The 16,941-nt window shown below is 42.9% G+C and overlaps 1 protein-coding gene across 2 annotated transcripts in view, besides 2 other annotated features; it reads right to left on the bottom strand.

Moving 5' to 3' along the window:
• Positions 1-8,554, bottom strand: part of DNTT (DNA nucleotidylexotransferase) — a 34,131-nt gene extending 25,577 nt beyond the window's left edge. For both annotated transcript variants that reach the window (NM_004088.4, NM_001017520.2), the window contains exon 1: positions 8,288-8,554. In NM_004088.4, coding sequence (NP_004079.3) covers positions 8,288-8,490 — 203 coding nt within the window. In that variant the 5' untranslated portion in view covers positions 8,491-8,554. The remainder of the gene's footprint in view (positions 1-8,287) is intronic.
• Positions 2,593-3,433: an enhancer, noted in NCBI's record as "OCT4-NANOG-H3K27ac hESC enhancer chr10:98069312-98070152 (GRCh37/hg19 assembly coordinates)". NCBI's record gives its function as "activates a minimal SCP1, AML or CMV promoter by ChIP-STARR-seq in naive and primed H9 embryonic stem cells {active_cell/tissue: H9 hESC(naive and primed)}" and the evidence as "EXISTENCE:reporter gene assay evidence [ECO:0000049][PMID:30033119]".
• Positions 3,434-4,272: an enhancer, noted in NCBI's record as "NANOG-H3K27ac-H3K4me1 hESC enhancer chr10:98068473-98069311 (GRCh37/hg19 assembly coordinates)". NCBI's record gives its function as "activates a minimal SCP1, AML or CMV promoter by ChIP-STARR-seq in naive H9 embryonic stem cells {active_cell/tissue: H9 hESC(naive)}" and the evidence as "EXISTENCE:reporter gene assay evidence [ECO:0000049][PMID:30033119]".
• Positions 8,555-16,941: the final 8,387 nt, after the last annotated feature.

Below are 16,941 nucleotides of genomic sequence, written 5' to 3'. Positions count from 1 at the left end.
TGGCATGGTCTCTGGGTTATGCCTGGAGCCCAGCACATGGCCAGATTTATAGTAATGGTAAAAAGATGACGGTAGACTGGATAGATGAATGAATGAATGAATAGCTCTAAAGGAATGTCTCTCAAACTCTAGTGTCTACCAGAGACATCCAGGAAGCTAGGTTAAAATTCAGATTACTGGGTCCCATTATGAGACTTCAGAATTCCTGGAGAATTGCACCTGAGGCCCAGGAATATGCATTTTGACAAGCTCCATTGGTGATTCTGATATAGTCAGTCTGTTTTCGTTATCTACTGTTGCATAACCAGTGATCCCAAAATGTAATGACTTAAAAAGGCAACTATTTTATTATATCTCACAATTTCGTGGGTCAGCACTTCAGGCAGGCTTGGCTGGGTGATCTCTCTGCCCTGTATTCTTCTGCTGAGGTGCTGATGTTCCCCGTGGTTCTACATTCTGCCACCTTGGTGAGGATGGCTGGAAAGCTGGGCTCAGTGCAACTAGGGACTGGGGACCCAAGCAACTTTATGTGGTCTAAGAGGAGGCGCCAATGTCTTACATGAGGCTCTGGGGTCCCAGAGATTGTGTCCCAGGGAAAGTCACACAGTCTCATTTCCACTGTACCTTACTGGTTGAATCAGTCACCAGCACTCTCAGATGCAAAGGACGGGGAAATTGCCCCTCCCTCTCCACAGGAGGACCTATGTTTTAAAACCACCCCACAGCCCAAGAACTCCACTTTGAGAAACACCACTGTAGAGAAAGATCTTTTCTATTGAACTGCCCCAGCCTAGATTTGACTCCCACTCGAGCCTTTGGCCTCAATGACAGCTGTGTTTTCCAACATGGTACTCGTTTCTCTGCAGGTACGTGACATAATTTTAGGAGGTACACAATTGAACATTTAAAAGGCTTATGTGTTTATTTATATCTGTATTTTAAATTATGCATCTCAGATCATAGGTTTTATGGATATTATTCCTTAGAACAAGGCTAATTTTATTTTAAATGAGTCAGTTTAGGGACAATTAAAAGAAACACACTGGCCAGGTGTGGTGGCTTATGCCTATAATCCCAGCACTCTGGGAGGCCCAGGTGGGCGAATCACTTGAGGTCAAGAGTTCAAGATCAGCCTGGCTAACATGGTGAAACCCCGTCTCTACTAAAAATACAAAAATTAGCTGGGTGTGGTGGCACGTGCCTGTAATCCCAGCCACTCGGGAGGCTGAGGCACGAGAATCGCTTGAACCCAGGAGGTGGAGATTGTAGTGAGCTGAGATCGTGCCACTGCACTCCAGCCTGGGTGATAGAGCAAGGCCCTGTCTCCCCCCAAACAAATAAACAAACAAAATAAACAGATTACGTATATATTATAATAAAAGATGTGGTAAAAGATATTACAAGAATCGTGACTGTGGCACTCAGATGTCTGAAAAGCCCTGGGTTATGGAATTAACTCACAGACTTCAGTTCTGCATTTTTTCCCTCAGGCAATAATTTCCCTGTTCTTCCTGTCTTTCTTTTCCTAGTTGATCCTGCCTCTCATGAAGTATAATTAGAAAAACCCTCCAGGAGGAAAGTGGCAGCTATTTTTATTTGCCTGGGTATAGACTCCTTCCCACCCTCTGTCTGACTTTCTGGATCCTCATGGATGGTCACCTGCTGTCTTCTTCCCAGGGAGAGGTCATTCCTGATTCTTCCCATCTGATATAGGACTTATTTTGTAAACAGTGACTTAAATAGTCATTTACAGTTAAACTGACCTGTTTACAGTTTAAAAACCCTTCTACCAATTTCACTTAGCAACTGATCTGTTTCAGTATCCTTGGAACAGAAAGATCATGCAGTTTTGTTTGGTTTTATTGCAAACTCTTACTAGCACCTAGCACCACTAAGGACAGGTTTCTGTCTCCAGCCCTGCTGTACTTATGACTGAGACGATCTTGCCTCGATTTTTTTTGGCCCACCTTAAATGGGATTAAGAAATTTTTTGTTAATTTAAAGCCGCAAATTTTGAAATACAAAGTAATTTGGATCAGAGCAAGAAAAAAGCTTATATCTCATGCTCATGCTCTTGAATTTATAAAAATAAAATATTTATTATGTTGCTGATTACAAAATTAATACTCATGCATTGCAGAAAAAAAATTCATTACAAAAATTACTCTTGGTAAACACAAGTTCCTTGGGCTGGTTTTATATTCACCAGATAAATCATTCTCTGAGCAAATATTTCTTGAGGCCTCCTATGTGAAAGAAAATTGTCTAAGTCTGTAGCTGAGGTCTACACGTGGCTTGTGGAGTCAGAGAGGGGTAATTGGATGAGATTAAGAGCCTTTGCTCATCAAAAGGAAAAGCTGGGAGCCCACCCTAGGCAGTGACTCCCACCAGCATTCTAGGGAGGAAAGCTTCTCTCTGGGGGCTTTCAGGAGTCTAAGGTCTGGGAAGCAGAGAGGTAAAGGGAGAAGGCACTCAAGGTGGTAGGGAAAGAGCAAGAAAAACTGTAAAGAAAACCAGGGAATCTGTGTTTGGATTCTGGGCCTGGCCTGGAGAGTGGCCAGTTCAACTTTTATTTTCTAGAGCAGGAAACTGACCTCCTTCGACTGATGTTCTGTTTATTTTGCAAACAATGACTTTGAATATTTTGATTTCAGACACCATAAATTTGAAGTGTAGAATAGAACATTGCCAAAGATTAACAAAGCTGGACACTAGTTAAAGTGGGAAGGATGGTTATATTCAGTCATAATGATGGCAATAGGAAAGAGGCCCCAGTGTTTATGGGAACAAAAGGCATGAGACTTTTAAAAAACTGGGATGTGCTGCTAGGGGAAGGGTGTGCCCCTGAGGGGTAGTAGGGGGGTTGGTCCCTGTGACTAGGCCATCTGGGTTTGTTAATTGGAGCTTTCCTGGAGGAGAAGCAAACTTTTGTGGTGTAAATTAGAGGAAGGTCCTCTGAAGTTAGGCCCTCCCTCCCACAGAATCTGAAAGTCGGAGTTACCTCTTTGAAGGGTTGCTTTTTTCAGATCCTTGGAAGACAGTTCTGGATGGTTAGAAGATTTACATCTCAAAGGGACAGAGAAAGGATTTATCATTGCAACTTTCTAAAGTAACTGCTTTAAGAGAGGGTTCACGGGCCAGCTCCCTGTTGCCTGCCTTTGGCTAGAATAAACAGGACATTCTCCTGGCAGTGATGAACTTTCTCAGGCAGGCATTTTAAAGGGGGCCATCCTAGGGACATGGCCTTAACTGCTAGAAGCCATGCTACAGTTTAGTCAAGGAGAGAGTCTTTACCAACATTCAGGTGGAAAAAAATAATGCATTTTACTACCATGAGATTGCCAGGGACTTTTGGAGGCGATGGTTTTGGGATAATGAGTGAGACAGAATCCACATGTCAAACATTATATAATGACTGAATGGAAAGGGCAAGCAGCCAGTTTAGATAAAACTAGACCAAAATAATACTAGAAGACTAAAAGTAAAAAATGAGCAGGCAAATGCTAACTTTTTTTTTTTTTTAAAGAAAACTTGTTCAAACTTGGAATATATGCTATGCTACTTTTTTAATTCCAGGTGATGACAAAGGTACAATTCCTGACTTTCCTGTCTGACTGTAAACTCCTTGTTTGCAGGACTCATGTCTTCCACTATTTTGTGTCTCCACAACCTGACAAATACTGCACAGAGTAGGTACTAACAAAGCCCTTTATTGGTGATGACATGATGCTGCATCTTGCTTTCACTGAAGACAATGCCTTCCAGTGGCATCCTTGTAGATAAACTATGGAAGTCTAGGAAGGATGACAGTATCCTCTGGTGGGTGTCAAGCTGCTTGAACAATGGAACTTGGCAAGTGTTAAACGGCTAGGTAGATGCAAAGGTGGAGAGCCAACCTTCCTGGTCGTGCATTTTCTTCCTCAGCATCAATGATTTGGGTCAAGACACAGAGAGTAAGCTTAACTAATTGTCAGGCCTCTGAGCCCAGGCCAGGCCATCATATCCCCTGTGACCTGCACGTATACATCCAGATGGCCTGAAGCAACTGAAGATACACAAAAGAAGTGAAAATAGCCTTAACTGATGACATTCCACCATTGTGATTTGTTTCTGCCTCACCCTAACGAATGTATTTTGTAATCTCCCCCACCCTTAAGAAGGTTCTTTGTAATTCTCCCCACCTTTAAGAATGTACTTTGTTGAGATCCGCCCCCTGCCCACAAAACATTGCTCCTAACTCCACCGCCTATCCCAAAACCTGTAAGAACTAATGATAATCCCACCACCCTTTGCTGACTCTCTTTTCAGACTCAGCTCGCTTGCACCCAGGTGAAATAAACAGCCTTGTTGCTCACACAATGCCTGTTTGGTGGTCTCTTCACATGGACTCGAGTGACACTAATGTGTTTATGGAGGAGGGTTGATAACAGAATGAAATTTTAAAATAGCTCCACGTATTGGAACTCAGGATGAAATAAGAAAGTGACAAGCAGTAGGTTCTGATCCTTCTCCAGCTTGACCCGGGTGGCAAATTGCTCTAAAATTTAGGAAGTTAGCCATGGAATAAAATTCAGTATTCTTTTCATAAATATGCAAAAATGCCTCAAGGGTTTTAATACTTTCCCTTATCTACGTTTTAAGACCAGCTTCCTATGGCACATTGAATGGCACGTATTTTGCAATATAGCATAAATGTTAGCAAAGCTCCACCCAATTATGTTGCATGCATGTTGCAGAATGAAATAGCTCCAGACAGTGCAACACTTTGAGGTACACCATTTCTAATTTGTGTGTTCAGGCCCAAGTAAAGCAGGAATCAGGTTTCTTCTCTAATTTAATCCTTCTGACAGCCAAAGAATGTGTTAGGAACAATGAAAACTGTTGCCTATCAGCTGAAAAAACAGCTTTCTTTGTTATTTTTATTTTTAAAGTACATGCTTATTGTAGCCTGGGCACGGTGGCTCACACCTGTAATCCTTTGGGAGGTGAAGGCAGGAGCTAGGAGTCCAAAACCAGCCTGGGCAACATGGCGGAACCCCATCTCTACAAAAATTAGCCGGGCATGGCCCGCATCTGTAGTCCCAGCTACTTGGGAGGCTGAGGTGAGAGGATCCGTTGAGTCTGGGAGACGGAGGTTGCAGTGAGCCGAGATGGCACCACTGCACTCCAGCCTGCGTGACAGAACAAGACCCTGCCTCAAAAAAAAAAAATATATATATATATATATATGCACACACACACACATATATATGCTTATATATATATATATATATATATATATACACACACACACACACATACATATATATATGCTTATTGTAAAAAATATATTGGAGGCCAGGCACGGTGCTCACGCTTGTAATCCCAGCATTTTGGGAGGCCAAGGCGGGCGGATCACGAGGTCAAGAGATCGAGACCATCCTGGCCAACATCGTGAAACCCCAACTCTATTAAAAATAAAAAAGATTATCTGGGCGTGCTGACGCGTGCCTGTAGTCCCAGCTGTTCAGGAGGCTTAGGCAGGAGTATCGCTTGAACCTGGGAGGTGGAGGTTGCAGTGAGCCGAGATCGTGCCACTGCACTCCAGCCTGGGACAGAGCGAGACTCCGTCTCAAAAAAAAAAAAAAAAAAAAAAAAAAAAAAACTGGAAAACCCAGAAAATAAAAACAGCCATAATCTCTCCCTACCAACCCCCACTCCCAAAAAACCAGTTATAACATGTTGACGGGTTTCTTTCCTGTCTTTGTTCTATTTGTTGATATCATTTGACCTTGTTCATATTGTGGAGGGAGAGCCCATTCCTTAGGGTTTTGCTGTAAAGGTCAATGGATCCAGCAATTCACAAGAAAATAATTACACTTTACATTTGTCTAACTGTTTTAATTTATCAAAGCACATTGACATGCATTATCTCATTTGGTGATCACATCAGATAGGCCATTTATCAGGATATTAAAATCAGTCGGGAGAGAGGGGACCTTGTCCCATACCCCATGGCTGGGGAGGCTCAGAGCCAGGATTTGAGGTTTCTAAATTTCGTATCTAGAGATTTGTCCCCTACAATAATTTTTATTTCTCTATCCAATTAAAGTCTATATATCTATGCACAGAAATTCCGTTTGAGACCTAGGACTTCTACTTCCTGTGGTTTATTTTTGCGCCATAGAGCACATTTGTATTTAATGTGTCTTCTGAGCTACCAGCCTGGGAACTTTGCCATCATCACATGCACAGCGGCAGTTTGCTCACCATGCACCAGTGAGCTTCCTCCGCCGCCTGAGCAGCTGGGCTTGGTCCCTGGCAGCAGGCATCTGGGGCATGTAGCTGCCTCTTCAGCTGTCCTGCCAACAGAAGAAACTTACCTCCCATCATCTCCCTGAGTGCCTGCCTCAGCCGCCTTGTATGTATTCATTGCTGTGTCTATAATAAATCAGCGGGTCCTTGCTGGAAGCTTGGACGTTTCAATGGAGAGCTTTCCAGTAAGTGGTGCTTCTGGTTCTTTCCTTCCTGCCTAACCCTTGTCAAATTTCTTTACCATGAAAAGCAGTTCCATATTTGCTAAGGCTTTTAATTTCTTTTCCAAAAAATCTATTTTTGGCCAGACGTGGTGGCTCATGCCTGTAATCCCAGCACTTTGGGAGGCCAAGGCAGGCGGATTACAAAGTCAGGAGATAGAGACCATCCTGGTCAACATAGTGAAACCCCGTCTCTACTAAAAACACAAAAATTAGCTGATTGTGGTGGCGCGTGTCCGTAGTCCCAGCTACTTGGGAGGCTGAGGCAGGAGAATCACTTGCACCTGGGAGGCGGAGGTTGCAGTGAGCCGAGATTGTGCCACTGCACTCCAACCCGGGCAACAGAGCAAGACTCTGTCTCAAAAAAAAAAAAAAAAAAATCTATTTTTTTGGCTTCTTTACCTATATAATCTTCCTGTCTTCTCCAACTCTAGCCTTCTATGTAAGTCTGTAATATCAGGCAGGCTTAACAGTTAGATGAAATCTAGGATTTTCTTGGAAAGGATGTTAGAAAATGAGATTCAGAGTGGCTGTAGGAGGTTACAGAGAGGCAGCAAGAGAGAAAAGGAGACCTTGCAAAGAGAAATCAGGTGGAAGAAGGGCCATAGGAAATTCAGGAATTTCTGAATGGGGCATTTTAGCAAAAAATGAATGAAAAGTCAATGTCATATGAATCAGGGTGTTGCGAACATTAACATATCTGAAAATTGACTTTTGAAATATGTCTCCTCAACACTTGGAAGCTGACATTTCTTCTGCATGACATGCTTGTCAGTTTTATTTTCAAATATCAAAGACTATTTATACAATCAAAATGTCCTTTCACATAAAATTTTTATAGTTTTGCCTGAAAATTTGTGGTCAATTTATTTCTTGCACAGTCAAAGCGGTCAACTGCATAAATCATTACTCCTTCATTGCAAGCCCCTTAACAGTTTAATCCAGAACCATCACTTATGTCAAGGTTCTAATACCATTTGTTTCTGGATTTTGCTTGTTTTCTCTTCATCTATTTGAGATCAGTGAAGAGCTTACACAGAAGTTAGAAAAACAACAAGAATAATTGCTGTTCAAGGTGAGTGGATTAGTGAGTGAACCAATCTAGGTGGTCCAAATGCTTCTATCGCCTCCTTGCCTGGGCTCTGATTACATCTCACTCAGTGTGATGTCTGTCATCCCTGGACAGAGCTGTCTTAACAGTGAATACATCTTTACCTAGCATCTCTCTTTCTAAGAACCCCACTAGGACCACTCTTTGGAAAAATGTGGTCAAGGCCACATCTGGGTGCCTGTGGTAAGCTGGCTAGTCATCCTCGCCCACCACAGATGCTAGCTGCCTTAGCACGCCCAGATGTATAGGTAAGAACCAAGCAACCAAATCATCTTTCTGCATCAAAGTAGCCAAAACTTTTTTGTTGAACCCAGTGATACTTTGTTCAAATTGGTCAAGAATAGAATTGAGTGGTTCAGCATTAAATTTTCCAATTAGTGTTCTGCTTATCATCCCTAAATAACACATCTCATAGGAGTGAAAAGCAAAAAACAAAAAATTTATCTCATCTTTTGGTGTCAACTAGTTTCAATATAATTGTATTCAGTCCCCACTTATCTCGTTTTCCTTAACTAGTTGTTCTTTGATTTCAAATCTGCTGTTCTCCCAGTGGGAAGATCACCTCTTCCACATGTGGAAGAAAACACAGGTTCCTTGGGTTCCCAAGAAGCTGTTCACAAAGCCTCTGCTTATTTACAAAGCAAGATCGATGCTGTCCTACCTGAGCTCATTTTCAACCCTGAACCCTTTCCTGCGGGCCAGCTCCATGAGGAACGCTCTGCGGGTGGTTCCCATTTTCTTCTCCAAAATGAAGACGACCAAATCTTGAAATTTGATGTCTTGAGGAGAGGAGGCCATCAAGGCACCCGTCTGCCGGGGTCTCTTCTTCCGAGGGCTCAAGTGGGACGCTCGTGGTGGATCCATGGGAAGAGGCTGCTGCTGCCTCTGGCTGGCCCATCTGGTGGTGTCTCCAGAAGGGAGGGAGACTGCCACCCTCCTACACGAAGGGTTTTGATGTCATCTCACCAGCAGACTCTGAAGCCAGGCCAGGGCTTCACAGGTGCTGCCCTGGCAACAGCTTCCTGCCAAAGTGTGATGGGGAATTTTTATCTCTGTTCAGTTCATTTGTCCAATATGGAGATCATAATGAAGACAGTCAATTAACTTTTGTTTTCATACGCACAATCTCATTAGCTCCTCAGAGTAACCTCGTGAGGAAGGTAGGGAAGCATCATTGTTTGCATGTTATTTATTTCTAAATGTACTGAGGCCCTTCTGTGGTCTTTATTTATTGATCCCCTTTAAACCTCCCAACTCACTTGCATTCTCCTCCTTTTGTAGACAATCATTACACTGTACTGGATGTCTGTTATTTGCATGGGTGTTATATTCTGCTTGTGGTTGTTTTGACTTTACATAAATGGCATTGTTACATTTCTCATTTTGCCAATCACCTTTTTATTTCACTTGGAACTATGTTTTCCAGATCCGTATTCTAATTGCTCTGTTGCTTCTAACTGCTCCATAGTATTTCATGGTGGGTATTACCACCTGTTCACTTACATAGGTACATTTTATAAGCAAGAGAACCAAGGCTCAGTTATTCAAGATCACAGAATAAGGGGCCAAGCCATATCTTGAATTCAGTTCTTTGGATTCCAAATGCTGTATGCATATATTAGTTTTTTAAGTGGATTAAGGTTGTCCAGAGAGTAGTCTGTTATAAACCCTAAAATAGGTCTTCTTCAGTGGGATGGTATGACTTTTAGATGATAACCACTGCCATAAGGAGACATTTTCATAACTTTATGTGCAAAATTAAATTTGTCTTTCACCAATACACTCTATAGATCTCATTTCCTGAGCAGCTACTACACGGCCAAGGCAAGCACCTACCAGCCTTAGCTGACAGGATCCTCACAATACCACTGTCAGGTGGTCCTACCTTTCTCATTTGGCTAAACAATTTGCCCAAGGTCACAGAGCTACTGAATTTTCACAACTGAGAAATGATTGAGCTAGGATTTGGACTCAGATCTGTCTGATTTTAAAAGACTACTCTTAACCACCAAGGAGCCTTCCTCTGTATTGTCTTCTCCAATAACCAATCTGAGCTCTGCTCACCCTTTGTCCTTTTTTTTTTTTTTGGAGATGGAGTTTCGCTCTTATTGCCCAGGCTAGAGTGCAGTGACACAATCTCAGCTCACTGCAACCTCCACCTCCTGGGTTCAAGCGATCCTGCTACCTCAGCCTCCTGAATAGCTGGGATTACAGGCGCACGCCACCACGCCTGGCTAATTTTTGTATTTTTAGTAGAGATGGGGTTTCACCATGTTGGTCAGGCTGGTCTTGAACTCCTGACCTCAGGTGATCGGCCCACCTCGGCCTCTCAGAGTGCTGGGATTACAGGTGTGAGCCACCATGGCTGGCCGTCTGTGCCATATTATTTGAGACTTTTGCTATCTCCAAAACACGTGAGCACCTCACAACCGTATTAGGGGAAGAGTCATGTGACAGCTGCCTTAAGGCATGGGTAAAGCACTCTGTGTTGCTCAAGAAAGCAAAATCAGAAATCTTCAGGTGGAAATTGTAGAGTAATAGATTCCAGTTCTCCGCAAGTAAGACCTGTTTAGTAACTCAGCTGTCTAAAAATATACAGAGAGCAGCTTTATACAGTTGTGTGTTACAAGTCATGAAAAGTATTCAAACAGATGCTGGATAACTGTTTATTGAGCTGTAACAGAAGGGAATTCAGACATCTGGTAAGGGCCTATAATGCAGCCCTGAAATTCCCGGATGCTATGACTGTTTGCTAGAGATCAACTGGAAGATGAGAGTCTATTTTGACCCTCACTATTATGTGTTTGGTTACTGAAGAGCTGAATGCTTCATGTTAGAATGCAGTCTTAGCTACCAAATGGTGCTGCAGCAGGGAGTTAAGTAAATGATTCTAGCAAGAGTCTGGGATTGTTGTGTTCGTTCCCAAGGTATAGCCACCTAATAGTAAAGGTGCACCACCTAAGCAGTAAAGGGAATGGGGAGGTAGTACTGAGATGTGGCTAACAGCTCAGGCTTCGTCAGGCTGCCCATAAAAATTCTGTCTCTATTGCTCTGAAGCTTCAAAGCAAGTTGCTTAACTTCTTTAAGCCTCAGCTTTACCCCATCTGTAAAATGAGGACTGAGATAGCCCACATAACCTGCTGGGCAGAGTGCTTGACACAAAGGTAGCACTTTCAATAAATGTCAGTTCGTAGTAATTTATGTTTTGTTTTTAGAGACATTCCAGTTCAATCTGAAATCGGATATATATGTTTTGTGAAACTACTAAATCATCAAAATATCATATTAAACAATGTCACATTTTAATTTGCTTTGAGTCACTGGTATTGAAAACATTACCAACAAAAATTTCAAATGTACTGATGCCTGTCTGGTTATCAGGCTATCATCTCTCAGCTGCAAATCTACCTTTTTTCTGATGGATTCCATGAGGTTGAGGCTGGGACTGAGCAAATTCTCTTTCTCATTTGCCAGCTGACTTTATGTCAGGCTCTGCCAATGGTGATACCAGAGGGAGACTGAAAGTCTAGATAAGAGGAAAGAGGTGACCTTTTTTGTTTGCTTGCTGCTACAAAGGTCAGGGTCTTCGCAGTAATGGTTCTCTACTCAGACAGCAGTGATTGGTTCTAGTCTTTAGCTTTTTTCTTTTTCTTTTTTTCTTTTCTGCACAACCAGACCCAGTCTTACTGTACCCTTCAGAGGTATCAATACCACTTAGGTGACATCTCCTCAAAAGTCTGAGCCCCAGCTCTGCAGAGGTTTCCCTATGAAATTCTATGGCACCAGGGACGACAGGCAGCACTTCCTTATTAAAGATCTGTGTTCCAGCTCCATGGGAGCCCTGCTCCAAACTTCCAGTTTTCAACAATCCCAGCTCCATCCCTTTGTTGCTCCAGCCCAGTGGTGTAGTGTGCTTCTTGCAGTTTCTTTCTCTGAGTTACCTCAATGTCCTCTTTTTGCTTTTTCAGCAATTAATGTCTGTTAAACCAATCCCCTGTGGTGAAGGGAGGTGTGAAATAAGGTCTGAGAGCACAGATGTCTCATCGCCTTCTCAGGAACTAAATTAAATCGTGCTCATGAAGTGCCTTGAAAATAATAAAACACTATACAGAGTTCTCTTATGCTCTTTGGCATTGCTGCCAATAGCAGGAATTGATTTCTTCTTACTATACTATGATTTTCTGAAGCTCTTTGCATCAGATGTTGAGCACTCTCCTTGATCTACTAGATTGGTCAATAATCTCCAAATCTCAGTGTCTTAACAAAAGTTTATTTGTTTATGCTACTTGGTGGAGAATTCTGCTCCATTTAAGACTCTTCAATATGAACAAATAGAATACAGGTGTTAGGAGCCAGACTACCTGAATTCAAAACCTAACCTTTCTTTGCTTTATTTCCCTTATCTCTGCAATGGGGGTTAGAATGATTTCTATCTTACAGGTGGCTATGAGGACTAAAGCACTTCAAAGACCACTGGCATGCAAGTTCCAAGAACTGTCCATTGCTATTGTAATAGTGCAGGTTTCTCCTTGTTCCCCCTTCCCTTCCCTGTGTTCCCATATACTTTGTAGGTAATCCTGTCACAATCCTTCCCAATGGTCTTTTGCTTTCCCTAGACTCTTCCAAAAGTGGTGCCAGCCCGCTTAGGAAGAGCTGACACAGGAGGATCACTTGAGCCCAGTAGATCGGGGCTGCAAAGAGCCCTGTCCATGCCACTGCTCTCCAGCCTGGGTAACAGAGTGAGACCCTGTCTCAAAAAAGAAAACAAAACAAGACAAAAAAATAAAACAGACCTAAGACTCTAATGAGACCAGAGGGGTGTCCTGCAATGATTTATGGGAACACTGGTCCCATGAAGTGTTCCAGGCAAAACAAAAATTCTGCAGTGAATTAAGTGTAGGGAAACCAGAGAAACTCTATACAATGTGTGTTAGAACATTAAAGGTTTGTAATAAACTGTGTTCGCCCACTGTATTCTCAACATGCTTACCTTTTCTTTGTTTGTTTTGTAGAACACCTACAGCACCCTTTTGAATGCAACTGGAAGTATTGGTGCCTCAGGAGCTACACAAGCCTGAACCACCTGCTACTTACCAGATGTATGAGCTTGGGCCATTCCCTTACCCCATGGGGGGTTCGCAGTTTCCAACATGTAAAATAGCAGTCATAGTGCCAACTTCTTCACATTGTAAGTGATGAATAAGATAGCATGACAACTGCCTGCCTGGTCCACATGGGAGCTGGGCCACTGTTCTGTCCTCCCTTTCATGCTGCCACTCCCATGATGCTGGCAGATGTGACCAATGCTCCTGCCTGTTCAGGTGATGATGGCTATGAGGAAACAAAGAACACAGCTGCTCACTGGTTTCCATGCTGATGCTCCCAGGCAGCCACTTCTCCCCTTAGTTCGGGATTGTTTTTAAATTTTTTCCATTTTGGGTAATATTTAGTCTCCACATGATCATTCTTAGAGATCTTTATTGAGTACAAGTGTATGGGGCAGGAAACAATGGGGAGGATTTTAGGTTTTCCATGGTTCAGTGGAGAAGTAGCCCTCTTCCCATCAGCAAACACTATTTTTATCCTTAGGAGTCCTGTTGTTATTCTCTGTGCACGTTGGAGGAAGTCAGTTTGAGAGAGAAAACTTCTGTTTCCGGCACTTTCATTTTCTTTTATATCAAATATCTTGTATCTTCTATTCGTTTCAAGGTGTAGATCTGGGACCTGTGCCATCCTCAAATGTGCGGGCAGGGTTTTGTTTTGGTTTGGTTTTTCACCGAGCACCAGCTTCCTCTGTTGCCTGAACAGCTGTGTTTGGTTCTTGGCAGCAAGTGTCTTCTGGAGCTTAGAACTGCCTTGCCAGGAGCATGTGTAGAGTGTCTTGAATGAAAAATAAACCTTGGAAAATTTGTTTCTTGCCATTAAGAAGCATTTGGTAGCTATATATGTTGGGTGCCTAACAAGTACAAGAAATTTCTATATTTTAGTTATAACAGGGGTTCACCTTCATCTACAACATGAGAAGTGATAGTTAGAACAATGGAACTGATGGACAACAGCAGCTTATTTGTGACTTCTAGTCTTTATTCCAAAATGTTTATTAAACTTAACTGTATACAAAATTATGGGTGACAGCATGAATATCAGGCATGGAGGGGAGAAAGTACAGGGATTTGCCTCAAGGACAAATTTGAATAGGACAGTTGGGATTTTATTTGCAAAGAGTTAGGAGCTGCTGAAGGTGTTTAAGCAAACACAGAAGGTGATCAAAATGGTGCCTTAGGGAAATTAATCAGGCAATAATGAATGGGGTGAATTGAGGAGGGAGAAAGAAGGGAAGGAATCAGGAGACAATTATAATAAGATATGACTTGGGGCCACTGGAGAGAATGAGAACAGAGCCTGAGTGAGATGATAGACGTTGTGCTGTGGATCAGTGGTTGGGGCCATGGCTCCTGGGTATCCGGGGGTAAAATCCTCCAGTCCTGCCAATATCCCATAACTTCCAAATCTTTATCTCTAGCCCATTTCTCTCTCTTCAGCACCAGGCCCGTTTACATTCCACTGAAAAATATTATTCAAAATGCCTGAAACAGAACTACTCATCATCACTCCCCAAACTGTTCCTTCACTTCTGTCACCAGATCCTTTTAATTCTTTTTCTTGACTGATAACGTCTCTAAGGTAAGCAGTTAAACACATCTTTCTCTCCTGCAGCTTATGAACTGACTGCAAAACAAGCATGGGTCAGTTGGCAGTGGGGTGCATGTGAATGTTTAGCAGTCGGCTCGCAGAGTTCCAGAACATTTAGCCATGGGTTCTTGTGAGCTGGCAGCAGCTGACTCCAGCACACCACTGTGACCAGAGTCACAAGATCAGCTTTATTACTGGTAAACTGGAGAATGTGGCTTGATGCTTTAGCTTCAACCTTCCAGACATCTATTACTGAATTGAGAAGTTTATGATACAATAATACTATCATGACATACTGGCAATAATAGTCATCTCTAAAGATGTTAGGCTTTGTGAAATGCTTTACCATTTATCCTCACATTCTTCAGAAGGCCCTGGAAGATGTTTAACTTGCCCCCTTACACTCATCTGCTGGAGGAATTCAGAGGAGGGCAGGAAAGGGTGGCAGGAAGGGCATTCACATGAGAGGGAGCCTGTCGGGGGCCAGGAGGGCTGGAAGGATTTGAGCAGATGGGAGAAAAGGAGAGAAGTTAGGTTTGGAGCAGACCTCAGAGACCACCCAGAGCCTGAGTTGGCACTAAGAAGTCATGGGAGCTTCTGAGCAGGACAGTGGCAGGCCCGAGGCAGGGCCACAGAAGGCAGCCCTGCAGTGATGTGTATATCCCGTGGTCCAAAACGGGATTCCTGGAAGGTGCAGAGAGCTGAAGCTGCTACTCCAGCTGGGTCACTATTGCAAATGGCCAGAAGAGAACCGTGGAAGCCTCAGCTGGGACCATTCATTCATTCAATGCATATTGACTGTGTGCCTACTATGTGCCAGGCACTTCTAGGCATTAATAATACAGAGTGAATAAAACAACCCCTGCCTCATGGGATTTACATACTTGTCTGTTACTAGAAGGAAACAGACAATAAATAAAATTATTCAAGAATCTCAAGCAGGCCAGATGGTGATAAATGCTGTAGAGAGAAATAAAGGGGACAGCGTATGCCAGGGTTGGGATGGCAGTCTAAGATTATCCAATTAGGCTTTATTGAGGAGGTGACATTTTAGCAAAGATCTGAAAGAAACTAATGATGGTAGCGATGGAAACAGGCATAAATGTGCCAGACCAAGGAGGCACATCATAAAGAAATCATTGTAAAAGGAGAGAGGATGGGTACATCAAAGTCTCAGAAATCACACCTAAACAACTTATCCATGTAACCAAACACCACTTGTTCCCCAAAAACTACTGGAAAAAAAAAAGACTACCTTAAAAAAAAATTGAGGCCAGGCTCATGCCTATAATCCCAGCATTTTGAGAGGCTGAGGTAGGAGGATCATTTGAGACCAGGAGTTTGAGACCAGCCTGGGCAACAAAACAGGACTCCATCTCTACAAAAATAAAAGTAAAAAAATTAGTTGAGTGTGGTGGTGCACGCCTGTCTTCGCAGCTACTCAGAAGGCTGAAGCAGGAGGATTGCTTGAACCCAGAAGGTTGAGGCTATAATGAGCCATGACTGTGCCATTGCACTCCAGCCTGGGCAACAGAGCCAGATCTGATTTCATAAATAAATAAATAAAGAGAGAGACAGACAGAATCTCACAATTATTTAGACAGTGAATTGGAAAACAATAGTTTTGGGTTATAAAACCAAAACTGTAAAATAGAATTAAACTAAACTTGAAATGTGTTTGACCTTTATGGTTTGAAAAGAGTCAGCTAAATATTTCAGCTATTCTTTACTGGATCTTATGGAGGACATTTTATGCTATAGTAGTATTTGTAGTGTTTATAACACTAGGGGATTGAGATGGTCTTATCAGAGTGAAATGAATAGCAAGTAGAGACTGATCATAACAATACGCTTCAGATTCCCCAGTTACTCCCAGTGCCTTACTAATGTACCTTTTTCCCTCGTGCTATAAACATTTATCCTTGGCCCAGGCACAGTGGCTCACACCTGTAATCCCAGCACTTTGGGAGGCCGAGGCAGGAGGATCAACTGAGGTCAGGAGTTTGAGACCAGCCTGACCTACATGGTGAAACCCTGTCTCTACTAAAAATACAAAAATTAGCTGAGCATAGTGGCACACACCTGTAATCTCAGCTACTCAGGAGGCTGAGGCAGGAGAATCACTTGAACCTGGGAGGCAGACCTTGCACTGAGCCGAGATCACACTGCTGTACTCCAGCCTGAGCAACAGAGCAAGACTCCATCTCAAAGAAAAAAAAGCAAAACAGCAACAACCAAAAACACATTTATCTTCAAGGTCACAGATCTCCCTCTGTAGTGGATGCTGTGGTGAGCTGCCCAGAGACCCCTTCAGGATGGAGTCACCATTCCTTTTGCTACTGACAATGGCAGAGCTGATGGCTCACTGACAAAGAGAGACACTTGCCTAAGGACAGACCCCTCCACTTATTGGTCAATGATCGGGGGAAGGTTACAAAGGTCAGGTCATCTCATTTCAAGGGGTGACAACTCTGAAGGGCCAGCCTAACTCTAGAGCATCCTATTAGATTGGCTGAGATCTGTACTACAATCAAATAGTGGTTCAACTCTTTCTCTGCCCAATCTCCTCCTTCATGCTCCCATAGATGATGATCCCAAGGGCATCCCCAATAGACTTCTGCA

This window comes from Homo sapiens, chromosome 10, assembly GCF_000001405.40.
Source record: "Homo sapiens chromosome 10, GRCh38.p14 Primary Assembly".
Classification (NCBI taxonomy): Eukaryota; Metazoa; Chordata; class Mammalia; order Primates; family Hominidae; genus Homo; species Homo sapiens.
This window is presented reverse-complemented; position numbering and strand designations above follow the sequence as displayed.